At 39.3% G+C, this 17,233-nt stretch overlaps 1 protein-coding gene across 2 annotated transcripts in view; it reads left to right on the top strand.

Moving 5' to 3' along the window:
• The window catches only part of F8 (coagulation factor VIII), a 186,932-nt gene extending 170,019 nt beyond the window's left edge, over positions 1-16,913 (top strand). For both annotated transcript variants that reach the window (NM_000132.4, NM_019863.3), the window contains one exon: positions 14,953-16,913. In NM_000132.4, coding sequence (NP_000123.1) covers positions 14,953-15,108 — 156 coding nt within the window. In that variant the 3' untranslated portion in view covers positions 15,109-16,913. The remainder of the gene's footprint in view (positions 1-14,952) is intronic.

Genomic DNA, 17,233 nt, shown 5'->3' with positions numbered 1-17,233 from the left:
AGATGGAATTTCAAGGGACCCTGAATAGCCAAAACAATCTTGAAAAAGAACAACGTTGGAGGAGTCATACTTCCCAATTTCAGAACTTACTACAAAGCTACAAGAATCAAAACAGGGCAGTACTTACATAAATATAGACACATAGATCAATGGAATAGAATTGAGAGTCCAGAAATAAGCCTATACATCTATGGTCAATTGATTTTCAATAAAAGTGCCAAGACCATTTTGTGGGAAAAGAATAGTCTCTTCAACAAATGGTGCTGGGACAATTGGATATCCACATGCAAAAGAATGAAGTTGGATCTTTACCATATACAAAATTTAACTCAAGGCTGGATGTGGTGGCTCACATCTGTAATCCCAGCACTTTGGGAGGCTAAGGCTGGTGGATCACTTGAGCTCAGGAGTTTGAGACCAGCCTGGGCAACACAGTGAGACTCTGTATCTACAAAACAAGAAAAAAAAATTAGCTGGCATGATGGTACACACCTGTAGTCCCAGCTACTAGGGAAGCTGGGATAGGAGGATCGCTTGAGCCCAGGAGGTGGAGGCTGCAGTGAGCCATGATCGCACCACTGCACTCCAGCCTGGGTGTCAGAGCAAGACCCTGTCTGTAAAAAATCATTTAACTAAAAATGTATCAAAAAACTAAATATAAAAGCTAAAACCATAAAACTGTAAGAAAAAACAAAGAGGTAAATTGTTATGATACTGGATTTGGCAATGGTTTCTTAGATGTGACACCACAATCACAAGCAACAACTCTATAAAAATATATATAGTAGGCATCTTTAAAGTTAAAAGCTTTTGTACATCAAAGAACACTATCAAGAAAGTAAAAAGATGATCTACAGTATAGGAGAAAAAAATTGCAAATCATATATCTGATAAAGGGCCTAGTATCCCAGAATATAAAAAGAACTCTTACAACTCAACAACAGAAAGACAACCAAATTTTAAAATGGGTAAAGGACTTCAATGGAACTTCTCCAAAGAAGATATACAAGGATCCAACAAACTCATGAAAAGATAGACAACATCATTAGTTATTAGGGAAATGCAAATCAAAACCACAATGAGATAGCATTTCAAACCTGCTAGGATGGCTAAATTAAAAAAAAAACAAAAACAAAATGTCAAGCGGGAAAATAACAAGTGTTAGCAAGAATATAAAGAAATTGGAACCTTCCTTGATGATGAGAATGTGAAATAGGGCAGCCACTGTAGAAAATATTTTGGCAGTTCCTCAGTAAGGAAAACATAGAATTAACATAGACCCAGCAATTCTACTCCTGGGTGTGGACCCAAAAGAATTAAAAGCAGGCACTCTAACAAAAACTAATATACAAATGCATATAGAAGTACTATTCATAATAGCAAACAGGTGAAAACAATTCAAATGTTCATCAAGTGATGAACAGATAAACAAAATGTGGTCTATCCATATATGGACTATTATTTATTCATAAAAAATCAAAGTACTGATCCATGCTAAAACATGGATGCTCCTTGAAAGCATTATGCTAAGTGAAAGCAGCCAGGCACAAAAGGCCACATTCCACTTATATGAAATACCCAGAATAGCAAATCCATAGAGACAGAAAACAGATTAGTGGTTGCCAGAAGCTGGCAGAAGGAGTGAATGTGGAGTGGCTTCTTAATAAGTATTGAATCTCCTTTTGGGGTTATAGAAATGTTCTGGAACTAGATAGTGGTGATGGCTATATAACATTGTGAATGTACTAAATGGCACTGAACTTCACACTTTAAAATTGTTAAAATGGTAAATTTTATGTTTGCGAATTTTGCAATAGATAAGTCAGAAGACATGTACATTACCATAATGAGTAACAAACTGACAGCTGATTTCTAAATAATAGCAAATATCAGAAAATAATGAATGATGTCTTCACAATGCTAAAATAAACAATGTGAACCCCTCTCTCAAAAAGAAAACCTAATGAAAATATCTTTTATGCGTTAAAGCAAAAGAGGAAATTAGGACACAGACAGGCACAGAGGGACGACCACATGAAGATATAGAAAGAGGACAGACACCTACAAGCCAACGAGAGAGGCCTTACAAGAAACCAACCCTTAGCCAGGTGTGGTAGTGTGCACTTGTAGTTCTTGTTACAAGGGTGCAGTGAGCTAGGGTTGTGCCACTGCACTCCAGCCTGGGAAACAGAACAAGACCCTGCCTCTAAAAAAAAAAATAAAGAGAAGGAGAAGAAGAAGAAAAGGAAAAGAAAAAAAAAAAGAACCAAGCCTGCTGGCCAGGCGTGGTAACTCATGCCTGTAATCCCAGCACTTTGGAAGGCTGAGGCAGGAAGATCATCTGAGGTCAGGAGTTCAAGACCAGCCTGCCCAACATGGTGAAACCCCCCTCTACTAAAAATACAAAAATTAGCTGGACATGCTGGCATGCGCTTGTAATCCCAGCTACTCGGGAGGCTGAGGCACAAGAATTGCTTGAGCCCAGGAGGCAGAAGTTGCAGTGAGCCCAGATCGCGCCATCACATTCCAGCCTGGACTACAGAGGGAGACTCCATCTCAAAAAACAAACAGACAAAAAAAAAATACACACACACACACACACACACACACACACACACACAAAACAAGCCTGCCTACCCCTTGATCTTGGACTTGTAGCCTCCAGAACTGTGAGAAAATAAATTTCTATTGTTTAAGCCAGGTGTGCGTGTGAAAATTTAGAACATATGACAACAGCAAAAAAGTCAGCATGTGGATAAATAGAATAAAGGATTCTAAAATCCATGTATTATCTAGGAGGTAAAGATGTTAATATTAAACCTTCATAATTTGATTAATGTTGTAGTTTATAGGATAGCCAGTAAGTAATAGAAATACACACAATGTAAGACTCCCAAAATGGTAGAAGAAAAAATATGAAAGGATAAAATATACTCAACAAACCTAAATGAAAGCAAGCAAAGAGAGATAAAGAAACATAAAACAGGTAGGAAAAATAGCAAGATAAGATGGTATATTTAAATTGAAATATAACAGTAATCATATGTAATATGAATGGACCAAATATTTCAGTTAAAAGACAAAGATTGTCAGATTGATAAAAAAGCAAAAGTAGCTGGGTGTGATGGCTCACACCTGTAGTCCCAGCTACTTAGGATGCTGATGTGGGAGGATCACTTGAGCCCAGGAGGTTCAGCCTGGACAAGATAGTGAGACTTGTCTCTTTAAAAAAAAAAAAAAAAAGCAAAAGTAAATTGTGTGCATTTTATGAGTCATATCTAAAACATTAGATACAGAAAAGTAGCAAGACAAAAATGGGAAAAGAAATTATGCAAATATCTAAAAGATATCGATTACAGCTCTATTGATAGCAGAAAAATAGACTTTAAAGCAAGAAAGTATTGCTGAAGATTAAGAATGTGATTTCATGGCTGGACGCGGTGGCTCACACCTGTAATCCCAGCACTTTGGGAGGCCGAGGCAGGTGGATCATGAGGTCAGGAAATTGAGACCATCCTGGCTAACATGGTGAAACCCCGTCTCTACTAAAAAAAAATACAAAAATTAGCCGGGTGTGGTGGCGGACACCTGTAGTCCCAGTTACTCAGGAGGGTGAGGCAGGAGAATGGCGTGAACTCGGGAGGCTAGATTTTAACACATCTCTCGTCAATTGATGGAACAATGTATAGAAATAGAACAATTAACATGATTCACAAGTTTGATCTTATAGACATATTTAGAAAATAGCACCTTGAAATTGCAAAATTACAAGGGTGGTTCCAACATGGCCGAATAGGAACAGCTCCAGTCTACAGCTCCCAGCATGAATGACACAGAAGACAGGTGATTTCTGCATTTCCAACTAAGGTACCAGGTTAATCTCACTGTGGCTTGTCGGACAGTGGGTGCAGGACAGTGGGTGCAGCCCACCGAGCATGAGCCGAAGCAGGGTAAGGTATCACCTCACCCGGGAAGCACAAGGGGTCAGGGAATTCCCTTTCCTAGCCAAGGGAAGCTGTGACAGATGGCACCTGGAAAATTGGGTCACTCCCATCCTAATACTGCGCTTTTCCAATGGTCTTAGCAAACGGCACACCAGGAGATTATATCCTGCACCTGGCTCAGAGGGTCCCACACCCACGGAGCCTCGCTCATTGCTAGCACAGCAGTCTGAGATCAAACTGCAAGGTGGCTGCAAGGCAGGGAGAGGGGCACCCGCCATTGCTGAGGCTTGAGTAGGTAAACAAAGCGGCCAGGAAGCTCGAACTTGGTGGAGCCCACCGCAGCTCAAGGAGGCCTGCCTGCCTCTGTACGCTCCACCTTTGGGGGCAGGGCAAAGACAAACAAAAAGACAGCAGTAACCTCTGCAGACTTAAATGTCCCTGTCTGACAGCTTTGAAGAGAGTAGTGGTTCTCCCAGCACAGAGTTTGTGATCTGAGAACGGACAGACTGCCTCCTCAAGTGGGTCCCTGACCCCCGAGTAGCCTAACTGGGAGGCACGCCCCAGTAGGGGCAGACTGACACCTCACACAGCTGGGTACCCCTCTGAGACCAAGCTTCCAGAGGAACGATCAGGCAGCAACATTTGCTGTTCAGCAATATTCGCTCTTCTGCAGCCTCTGCTGCTGATACCCAGGCAAACAGGGTCTGGAGCGGACCTCCAGCAAACTCCAACAGACCTGCAGCTGAGGGTCCTGTCTGTTAGAAGGAAAACTAACAAACAGAAAGGACATCCACACCAAAACCCCATCTGTACATCACCATCATCAAAGACCAAAGGTAGATAAAACCACAAAGATGGGGAAAAAACAGAGCAGAAAAGCTGAAAATTCTAAAAATCAGAGTACCTCTCCTACTCCAAAGGAACGCAGCTCCTCGCCAGCAACGGAACAAAGCTGGACAGAAAATGACTTTGACGAGTTGAGAGAAGAAGGCTTCAGATGATCAAACTTCTCTGAGCTAAAGGAGGAAGTTCGAACCCATCACAAAGAAGCTAAAAACCTTGAAAAAAAAGGTTAGATGAATGGCTAACTAGAATAACCAGTATAGAGAAGTCCTTAAATGACCTGATGGAGCTGAAAACCATGGCACGAGAACTATGTGACGAATGCATAAGCTTTAGTAGCCGATGCGATCAACTGGAAGAAAGGGTATCAGTGATTGAAGATCAAATGAATGAAATGAAGCGAGAAGAGAAGTTTAGAGAAAAAAGAATAAAAAGAAATGAACAAAGCCTCCAAGAAATATGGGACTATGTGAAAAGACCAAATCTATGTCTGATTAGTGTACCTGAAAGTGACAGGGAGAATGGAACCAAGTTGGAAAACACTCTGCAGGATATTATCCAGGAGAACTTCCCCAACCTAGCAAGGCAGGCCAACATTCAAATTCAGGAAATACAGAGAACGCCACAAAGATACTCCTTGAGAAGAGCAACTCCAAGACACATAACTGTCAGATTCACCAAAGTTGAAATGAAGGAAAAAATGTTAAGGGCAGCCAGACAGAAAGTTCGGGTTACCCGCAAAGGGAAGCCCATCAGACTAACAGCTGATCTCTTGGCAGAAACTCTACAAGCCAGAAGAGAGTGGGGGCCAATATTCAACATTCTTAAAGAAAAGAATTTTCAACCCAGAATTTCATATCCAGCCAAACTAAGCTTCATAAGTGAAGGAGAAATAAAATCCTTTACAGACAAGCAAATGCTGAGAGATTTTGTCACCACCAGGCTTGCCCTACAAGAGCTCCTGAAGGAAGCACTAAACATAGAAAGGAACAACCGGTACCAGCCACTGCAAAAACATCCCAAATTGTAAAGACCATCGATGCTAGGAAGAAACTGCATCAACTAATGAGCAAAATAACCAGCTAACATCATAATGACAGGATCAAATTCACACATAACAATATTAACCTTAAACATAAATGGGCTAACTGCTCCAATTAAAAGACACAGACTGGCACATTGGATAAAGAGTCAAGACCCATCAGTGTGCTGTATTCAGGAGACCCATCTCACATGCAGAGACTCACATAGGCTCGAAATAAAGGGATGGAGGAAGATCTACCAAGCAAATGGAAAACAAAAAAAGAAAAGCAGGGGTTGCAATCCTAGTCTCTGATAAAACAGACTTTAAACCAACAAAGATCAAAAGAGACAAGGCCATTACATAATGGTAAAGGGATCAATTCAACAAGAAGAGCTAACTATCCAAAATATATATGCACCCAATACAGGAGCACCCAGATTCATAAAGCAAGTCCTTAGAGACCTACAAAGAGACTTAGACTCCCACACAATAATAATGGGAGACTTTAACACCCCACTGTCAACATTAGACAGTTCAACGAGACAGAAAGTTAACAAGGATATCCAGGAATTGAACTCAGCTCTGCAGCAAGCGGACCTAATAGACATCTACAGAACTCTCCATCCCAAATCAACAGAATATACATTCTTCTCAGCACCACATCCAAAACTGACCACATAGTTGGAAGTAAAGCACTCCTCAGCAAATGTAAAAGAACAGAAATTATAACAAACTGTCTCTCAGGCCACAGTGCAATCAAACTAGAACTCAGGATTAAGAAACTCATTCAAAACCGCTCAACTACATGGAAACTGAACAACCTGCTCCTGAATGACTACTGGGTACATAGCGAAATGAAGGCAGAAATAAAGATGTTCTTTGAAACCAATGAGAACAAAGACACAATATACCAGAATCTCTGGGACACATTTAAAGCAGTGTGTAGAGGAAAATTTATAGCACTAAGTGCCCACAGGAGAAAGCAGGAAAGATCAAAAATTGACACCCTAACATCACAATTTAAAGAACTAGAGAAGCAAGAGCAAACACATTCAAAAGCTGGCAGAAGGCAAGAAATAACTAAGATCAGAGCAGAACTGAAGGAGATAGAGACACAAAAAACCCTTTAAAAAATCAATGAATCCAGGAACTGGTTTTTTGAAAAGATCAACAAAATTGATAGAACACTAGCAAGACTAATAAAGAAGAAAAGAGAGAAGAATCAAATAGACGCAATAAAAAATGATAAAGGGGATATCACCACCAATCCCACAGAAATACAAACTACCATCAGAGAATACTATAAACACCTCTATGTAAATAAACTAGAAAATCTAGAAGAAATGGATAAATTCCTGGACACATACACCCTCCCAAGACTAAACCAGGAAGAAGTTGAATCCCTGAATAGACCAATAACAGGCTCTGAAATTGAGGCAATAATTAATAGCTTACCAACCAAAAAAAGTCCAGGACCAGACGGATTCACACTCAAATTCTACCAGAACTACAAGGAGGAGCTGGTACCATTCCTTCTGAAACTATTCCAATCAATAGAAAAAGATGGAATCCTCCCTAACTCATTTTATGAGGCCAGCATCATCCTGATACCAAAGCCTGGCAGAGAAACAACAAAAAAAGAGAATTTTAGACCAATATCCCTGATGAACATTGATGCAAAAATCCTCAATAAAATACTGGCAAACCAAATCCAGCAGCACATCAAAAAGCTTATCCACCATGATCAAGTGGGCTTCATCTCTGGGATGCAAGGCTGGTTCAACATACGAAAATCAATAAACGTAATCCAGCATATAAACAGAACCAAAGACAAAAACCACATGATTATCTCAATAGATGCAGAAAAGGCCTTTGACAAAATTCAACAACACTTCATGCTAAAAACTCTCAATAAATTAGGTATTGATGGGACGTATCTCAAAATAATAAGAGCTATTTATGACAAACCCACAGCCAATATCATACTGAATGGGCAAAAACTGGAAGCATTCCCTTTGAAAACTGGCACAAGACAGGGATGCCCTCTCTCACCACTCCTATTCAACATAGTGTTGGAAGTTCTGGCCAGGGCAATCAGGCAGGAGAAAGAAATAAAGGGTATTCAATTAGGAAAAGAGGAAGTCAAATTGTCCCTGTTCGCAGACGACATGATTGTATATCTAGAAAACACCATTGTCTCAGCCCAAAATCTCCTTATGCTGATAAGCAACTTCAGCAAAGTCTCAGGATACAAAATCAATGTGCAAAAATCACAAGCATTCTTATACACCAACAACAGACAAACAGAGAGCCAAATCATGAGTGAACTCCCATTCACAATTGCTTCAAAGAGAATAAAATACCTAGGAATCCAACTTACAAGGGATATGAAGGACCTCTTCAAGGAGAACTACAAACCACTGCTCAATGAAATAAAAGGGGATACAAACAAATGGAAGAACATTCCATGCTCATGGGTAGGAAGAATCAATATTGTGAAAATGGCCATACTGCCCAAGGTATTTTATAGATTCAATGCCATCCCCATCATGCTACCAATGACTTTCTTTACAGAATTCTAAAAAACTATTTTAAAGTTCATTTGGAACCAAAAAAGAGCCCGCATTGCCAAGTCAATCCTAAGCCAAAAGAACAAAGCTGGAGGCATCACGCTACCTGACTTCAAACTATACTACACGGCTACAGTAACCAAAACAGCATGGTACTGGTACCAAAACAGAGATATAGACCAATGGAACAGAACAGAGCCCTCAGAAGTAATACCACACATCTACAACCATCTGATCTTTGACAAACCTGACAAAAACAAGAAATGGGGAAAGGATTCCCTATTGAATAAATGGTGCTGGGAAAACTGGCTAGCCATATGTAGAAAGCTGAAACTGGATCCCTTCCTTACACCTTATACAAAAATTAATTCAAGATGGATTAAAGACTTAAATGTTAGACCTAAAACCATAAAAACCCTAGAAGAAAACCTAGGCAATACCATTCAGGACATAGGCATGGGCAAGAACTTCATGTCTAAAACACCAAAAGCAATGGCAACAAAAGCCAAAATTGACAAATGGGATCTAATGAAACTAAAGAGCTTCCGCACAGCAAAAGAAACTACCATCCCAGTGAACAGGCGAGCTACAAATTGGGAGAAAATGTTTGCAATCTATTCATCTGACAAAGGGCTAATATCCAGAATCTACGAAGAACTCAAACAAACTTACAAGAAAAAAAGACCCCATCAAAAAGTGGGTGAAGGATATAAACAGACACTTCTCAAAAGAAGACATTTATGCAGCCAACAGATACATGAAAAAATGCTCATCATCACTGGCCATCAGAGAAATGCAAATCAAAACCACAGTGAGATACCATCTCACACCAGTTAGAATGGCGATCATTAAAAAGTCAGGAAACAACAGGTGCTGGAGAGGATGTGGAGAAATAGGAACGCTTTTACACTGTTGGTGGGACTGTAAACTAGTTCAACAATTGTGGAAGACAGTGTGGCGATTCCTCAAGGATCTAGAACTAGAAATACCATTTGACCCAGCCATCCCATTACTGGGTATGTACCCAAAGGATTATAAATCATGCTGCTATAAAGACACATGCACACGTATGTTTATTGCGGCACTATTCACAATAGCAAAGACTTGGAACCAACCCAAATGTCCATCAATGATAGACTGGATTAAGAAAATGTGGCACATATACACCATGGAATACTATGCAGCCATAAAAAGGATCTGTTCATGTCCTTTGTAGGGACATGGATGAAGCTGGAAACCATCATTCTCAAAAACTATCACAAGGACAAAAAACCAAACACCGCATGTTCTCACTCGTAGGTGGGAATTGAACAATAAGAACACTTGGACACAGGTAGGGGAACATCACACACCGGGGCCTGTCATGGGGTGGGTGGACAGGGGAGGGATAGCATTAGGAGATATACCTAATGTAAATGACGAGTTAATGGGTGCAGCACACCAACATGGCACATGTATACATATGTAACAAACCTGCACGTTGTGCACATGTACCCTAGAACTTACAGTATAATAAAAAAAAAGAAATTGCAAAATTACACATTCTTTGTAAGCACACAAAGGAAACATGTTAGAATTTTCCATTTTAAGCTACAAATAAGCTACAAATAAAGTAGTCTCAAATTTCAGATAATATAAAACATGTTTTCTGGTCACAATACAATTAAAGTTGATATAAATAAGAAAGATAACTATAAAATCTTCCTATGTTAGAATCAAGAACTATACTTTTAAACCCATGTGTCAAATAAGAAATCATAAATTAGAAAATATTTTAAACTGAATGATAACAAGGCATGACATATTAAAATGTGGGAATCAGCTAAAGCAATATTTAGAAAGAAATGTATAGCGTTAAAAACATATATTGGAAGAGAAGAAAGCCTGACAATTAATGAGCTAAGGTATGTCTCAAGAAGCTAGTGAAACAGCAAAATAAACCAAAAGGAAGTAGAAGCAAGGAAATAATAAAGATATGAAGTAAATGAAGTAAAAAAGAAACATACAATAGAGAGAATAAAGAAAACCAAAAGTTGGTTCCTTGAAAATTGACAAACTTCTGGCAAGAGCAATCAAGATGAAAAGAAGGCACAAATAATATCAGAAACTTTAAAAAACTGGACATCAATAAAGATCCCACAAAAATTTCTGCCAATATAAAAATATAAAAAATGAGGATACTTATTAATATTAAATGTTCTTTCTTGTTGTATTTACCAGGGATTAATCCATTTTACCTAATTTTCCAAACTTAGTGTTAAAAGGTTATTAATTTAAAAAATCCAGATCCAGATGGCTACACTAACTATATTCTACCAATTTTTCAAAGGAGAAATAATATTAACCTTGCAAAAATTCTTTCAGAAAATGGAAAAAGATGGAATGTTATTCAATTATCTTATGATAATAGCATAACCTTGACAACCAAACCGAACAAGAACAATATTAGAAAGGAAGATAATAGGCCCGTTTTATTCATAAACATAAATCCCAAACAAAATATTAGCAATATGGATCCAAATTGGATTTATGCTAGGAATGCAAGTTTGGCTTATACATTAGAAAACTGATATAATTTATCACAGTGACAGACTGAAGGATTATACATATTGGCTGTCCTAAGCAGTGCAATAAGATGAGAAAAAGAAGGAAAATATGTAAGGATTGAATATGATGAAACAAACTCATTGTATGTGGAAGATATGATGGCATAGATAGAAAATCCAAAGGAATTTATATATAAATTATTAGAATTTTTAAAATTTTTCAAGCTTGCTGAAAACAAAATAAATACCAAAATTAATTGTATTTCTGTATACCTGAAACAGTTGGAAAAATAGTTTTAAATAGCATTTAAAAATTCCAAGCAGGAGTTGCACATTCCTGTCAGATAATGGCAGCTGCCTAAATCTCTCCACAGTCTTCAAAAACCATACATACACATACACACACAATTTTAAATTATGACTAAAACCACCCATAACCCATCTATAGAATAACCAGAAGACAAAAAGTACTATAAGTTTATATTTACAAGTAGAAAATAAATATATAAATCTAGCCAACCTTGCTCCAGAGAGAAACCCTGTCTCAAAAAAAAAAAAAAAAAAAAAAAGAAGAAAGCAAATGTTGGAAATTAACTGTCCTATAAAAACAAAAGTGAATTACTAAATCACAAGACCCACAAACCTCTTTGGTCACATCTATTAAATAAATTACACTTCCATTTATCAACAGTAGAGGGTACTCCTGGCTAAGAAACCTAGTAAGCCACCCAGCCCTCATGTCTGCCTGCATAAATCACCTCTTATTGCTGAAACAAGAAAATGTAAGGAATTTCTAAATGAACAGAAAATAGCATATGAAGCAGATGGTATTAATGTTCTTGAGTTTTTATTCCCTCTTTCCTTGAAAACCTCATCAACTTTAGGCATGGCCGTACGGCTCATCTTGATCAATAGAATGTGATTGGACATGACATATATACCACTTCCAAATAGAAGCTTTAAATGTGATTTTGTGTTTGACACACTCTTTTGTGCCTCTGCTCCAGGCTCCAGACTTTAAGCCTCTAGAACGATAAGTGAATAAATTTCTTTTGTTTTAAAGGCACCAAGTGTGTGGTGAATTTGTTACAGTAGCCCTAGAAATCTAATACTAACAAAAAGAATGTTAGAGTTGAATTAGAAGTGTCAGTGAGAACTTAGGAATTTAAAAAATCATATTCTTAGCACTGTTCACTGAGGGAATCTAGAAGTAATTACACTGCAGTAATAACGAGCCCATCCCATGCCCAAATCTTGGTCTCTAACTACCATTTTCCAGTCAAAAGAATCTGAGCTCCCTAGAGAAATGACTTTTTCAAGGCTGGATCAAGGAAACTGCCAGGCAATCTTAGATGATCTTGGTGATCTTGATGTGCCAGAAGATTAATGGGATCATGTGAAAAGAACACAGAAACTGGTCTGAAGGGCTTCCTGTTGGCCAGATTTGAGACAATTTGAGCATCAAAAGGAATAATGAGGGTAATGGATCATAACTGGAAAATCAGTTTGCAACCATCAATGTACTTACTATTGAATACTTGTAAAGAACTTTAAGGGTTGCTAATACCATTGGATAAAAGCTTGTTGTGAAACAGAATATTTGCATGGTCTCAAAGTCTCACTCCACAGATTGTTAGGAAAGGGAAAGGGTTACCTTTATAAATATAGAGATTAGGTGGACATCTTAACCAAGTGATCAAACTTAGCATCATCAATAATGGGACAATCTGGCATCGCATGCCCCCTGATTTAATGCAGTAAGGATTAAGTCTAACAAAAGATGTACAAAGCCTCCAAATACAGCGTAAACATTTGTAAAATAATCTCAGAACAGGGACCTTAATGTTTCTCAAAAATTTTTCCAAATACAGAACTTTATTTCTATAGATGTTTATGGTATATTTGCCATGCTATATACATTATGCTATATATTCTATGTGCTGAAGATACAACAATGACCAAGGTCTTTGCCCTTGTGGAACTGACATTTGGTGGCGGAGACAGAGGAAACAGTCAATAAGCATGTAAAGAGATAAAGGAAAAGATACTGAATGCTACAAAGGAAACAAATAAGTTGAGATTTAGAACAAAAAAGAGTCCTATTTTACAAGAGGAATAATGAGGAAGACCTTTCTAAAGAGGTAGCTCAGCACTTTGGGAGGCCGAGGCGGGTGGATCACGAGGTCAGGAGATCAAGACCATCCTGGCTAACACAGTGAAACCCCATCTCTACTAAAAATACAAAAAATGAGCCGGGCATGGTGGCGGGCACCTGTAGTCCCAGCTACTTGGGAGGCTGAGGCAGGAGAATGGCGTGAACCCGGGAGGCGGAGCTTGCAGTGAGCCGAGATGGTGCCACTGCACTCCAGCCTGGGCGACAGAGCGAGACTCCGTCTCAAAAAAAAAAAAAAAAATTGAGGCAGAATTTCGCTATGTTGCCTAGGCTTGTCTCAAACTCCTGGGCTCAAGCAATCCTCCTGCCTCAGCCTGCTGAGTAGCTGGGACTCCAGGGGCATGCCACTATGCTTAGTTTAAGAGGTGGTATTTAAACTGAGACCCGAAGGGTAAAAAACATGGATAAAAGAAGAAACAGAAGGGGTAAGAGCCTTCCAAGCAGAGGGAATCACATATACAAAGGCTCTCATGTTAAATAAAACAAGAGTTGACATTGTTGAGAAACTGAAAGATCAGCTCATCTGCGATGCGGTAAAATAGGAGGAATGCAGTGGGAGAACAGATCAGAGACTTGGGCAGGGGCTATATTAGGCAGAACTTGGAGACCAGAGTAAGGGGGCCAAGGTGGGAACAGACCGATTAAATTGGCATCTCTTGGGGGGGTGGGGGGGTGGGGAACTTACCCATGCATCATTTTTTAAAAGCTCCAAAGGCGATTCCAATAAGCAGCCAGGGTTGGGAACCTAGGGGGAAAATGTAGCTAGATGAATGAAGATGGCCCAAACGTCTTTTGTTCTGATAGCTAAACTCTCTGTAGGATCACAGTGTTACTTCACAGTGCATTTGCCAGGAAAAGTCTCTTCCCATTTGGAATCCGAAGTAAAACTGACACCACACTTGAAGATGCCAGGATTGTTAGAGGAAAATGTCACCCAATAGCTCCAGGAAGCAGGAGCCCTACTGTTGCTGTTTAACCACTTCTTTCCCATTTTGGTGGCAAGTTGCCTCCTTTTACACAAACTGCCTCAGGAGATCCTAAAGATATCATGGTGTCTGTCTGTCCTTGCAAGAGCATGCATTATGGTAGGACATTGCCTTCATTCTGTTCCTTTTTCTCCAAGACTCTTGCTTATTCTCACCATTTGGCTGGACTTTCTACTGTAGGATTACCTCGGAATCCACACAAAACCCACAGGGTTTCAGAGTTGCCTTGAATTACACGTTTTGAACATTCAGATCTTCATTTTCCCAAACATCCACCCAGTTATAGGTGACCTTTGCTCCAAAGTCCTGGAGTAGCAAGGTGCCTTGAGTCTTAGACTCTTCCCACTTCTTTCTCTCTTCTGCATCCCCTCCTGCCAAGGTTGCCCAGCCACACTAAATTGCATGCCTTGCTGTGTTGCATTCGTTATCATTCTAAAGTTGTCACCAACATGTGCGAAACCAGTTTATCTAATAACGATAGCTACCATTTTCTGAGCTCTTGCCATGTACTCCTCTTGCCACAGCAAATGCATTGACAAGGGAGTCTGCTGGCCAAAGCCTGACTCTCATCTCCAGATGGTCCAACACAGATGCTGTGTGTGACCCAGGACAAAGCACTTAATGTCACTGAGGTTTGGGAAGTGGGTGAGAACACTGTAGATATAAGGCCTAGCTAGAGTGAAGGCCTCCAAAGCAGGGTGCTCTTAATTCTAGATGTCCCAGATGCGTAGGACAGAGTCATCTAGTCATCTTCCAGGGTTTAATCCTGGACTACTGGAAACAACTAGAAGTGAGAAAAGCGTCTGTGCTTTGCAGTGACCATTGTCCTGTCAGACAACCAATAAATGCTATCTTTCCTCTTTCAGGTTTTTCAGGGAAATCAAGACTCCTTCACACCTGTGGTGAACTCTCTAGACCCACCGTTACTGACTCGCTACCTTCGAATTCACCCCCAGAGTTGGGTGCACCAGATTGCCCTGAGGATGGAGGTTCTGGGCTGCGAGGCACAGGACCTCTACTGAGGGTGGCCACTGCAGCACCTGCCACTGCCGTCACCTCTCCCTCCTCAGCTCCAGGGCAGTGTCCCTCCCTGGCTTGCCTTCTACCTTTGTGCTAAATCCTAGCAGACACTGCCTTGAAGCCTCCTGAATTAACTATCATCAGTCCTGCATTTCTTTGGTGGGGGGCCAGGAGGGTGCATCCAATTTAACTTAACTCTTACCTATTTTCTGCAGCTGCTCCCAGATTACTCCTTCCTTCCAATATAACTAGGCAAAAAGAAGTGAGGAGAAACCTGCATGAAAGCATTCTTCCCTGAAAAGTTAGGCCTCTCAGAGTCACCACTTCCTCTGTTGTAGAAAAACTATGTGATGAAACTTTGAAAAAGATATTTATGATGTTAACATTTCAGGTTAAGCCTCATACGTTTAAAATAAAACTCTCAGTTGTTTATTATCCTGATCAAGCATGGAACAAAGCATGTTTCAGGATCAGATCAATACAATCTTGGAGTCAAAAGGCAAATCATTTGGACAATCTGCAAAATGGAGAGAATACAATAACTACTACAGTAAAGTCTGTTTCTGCTTCCTTACACATAGATATAATTATGTTATTTAGTCATTATGAGGGGCACATTCTTATCTCCAAAACTAGCATTCTTAAACTGAGAATTATAGATGGGGTTCAAGAATCCCTAAGTCCCCTGAAATTATATAAGGCATTCTGTATAAATGCAAATGTGCATTTTTCTGACGAGTGTCCATAGATATAAAGCCATTTGGTCTTAATTCTGACCAATAAAAAAATAAGTCAGGAGGATGCAATTGTTGAAAGCTTTGAAATAAAATAACAATGTCTTCTTGAAATTTGTGATGGCCAAGAAAGAAAATGATGATGACATTAGGCTTCTAAAGGACATACATTTAATATTTCTGTGGAAATATGAGGAAAATCCATGGTTATCTGAGATAGGAGATACAAACTTTGTAATTCTAATAATGCACTCAGTTTACTCTCTCCCTCTACTAATTTCCTGCTGAAAATAACACAACAAAAATGTAACAGGGGAAATTATATACCGTGACTGAAAACTAGAGTCCTACTTACATAGTTGAAATATCAAGGAGGTCAGAAGAAAATTGGACTGGTGAAAACAGAAAAAACACTCCAGTCTGCCATATCACCACACAATAGGATCCCCCTTCTTGCCCTCCACCCCCATAAGATTGTGAAGGGTTTACTGCTCCTTCCATCTGCCTGACCCCTTCACTATGACTACACAGAATCTCCTGATAGTAAAGGGGGCTGGAGACAAGGATAAGTTATAGAGCAGTTGGAGGAAGCATCCAAAGATTGCAACCCAGGGCAAATGGAAAACAGGAGATCCTAATATGAAAGAAAAATGGATCCCAATCTGAGAAAAGGCAAAAGAATGGCTACTTTTTTCTATGCTGGAGTATTTTCTAATAATCCTGCTTGACCCTTATCTGACCTCTTTGGAAACTATAACATAGCTGTCACAGTATAGTCACAATCCACAAATGATGCAGGTGCAAATGGTTTATAGCCCTGTGAAGTTCTTAAAGTTTAGAGGCTAACTTACAGAAATGAATAAGTTGTTTTGTTTTATAGCCCGGTAGAGGAGTTAACCCCAAAGGTGATATGGTTTTATTTCCTGTTATGTTTAACTTGATAATCTTATTTTGGCATTCTTTTCCCATTGACTATATACATCTCTATTTCTCAAATGTTCATGGAACTAGCTCTTTTATTTTCCTGCTGGTTTCTTCAGTAATGAGTTAAATAAAACATTGACACATACAAACAAATGCCTTTGAGAATTGTGTTTTTACACTGGAAATAAAAATGTGAACACTGATTTTTAAAACAAATAGGGGCACTGAATAGCAAGATGGACACTCTAGAAAACCAAATTAGTGAGTTAGAAAACCAGATTAAATTGAACTCAGAGTAAAAATGATATAATTCATGAGAGTCTGAATAAAATAAATCAGAAATGGAGCCTCAATCCAGGAGAACAGCTTATATGGAGAGAGAGAGACTGAGAGAGAAATGGGAGTTTCTGTTCAATGGGCATAAAGTTTCAGCTATGCTGCTGGGCACAGTGGCTCATGCCTGTAATCC

Source organism: Homo sapiens, chromosome X (assembly GCF_000001405.40).
Source record: "Homo sapiens chromosome X, GRCh38.p14 Primary Assembly".
NCBI lineage: Eukaryota > Metazoa > Chordata > Mammalia > Primates > Hominidae > Homo > Homo sapiens.
Note: the sequence above shows the minus strand (reverse complement) of the source record. Positions and strands in the feature narration are given on the sequence as shown.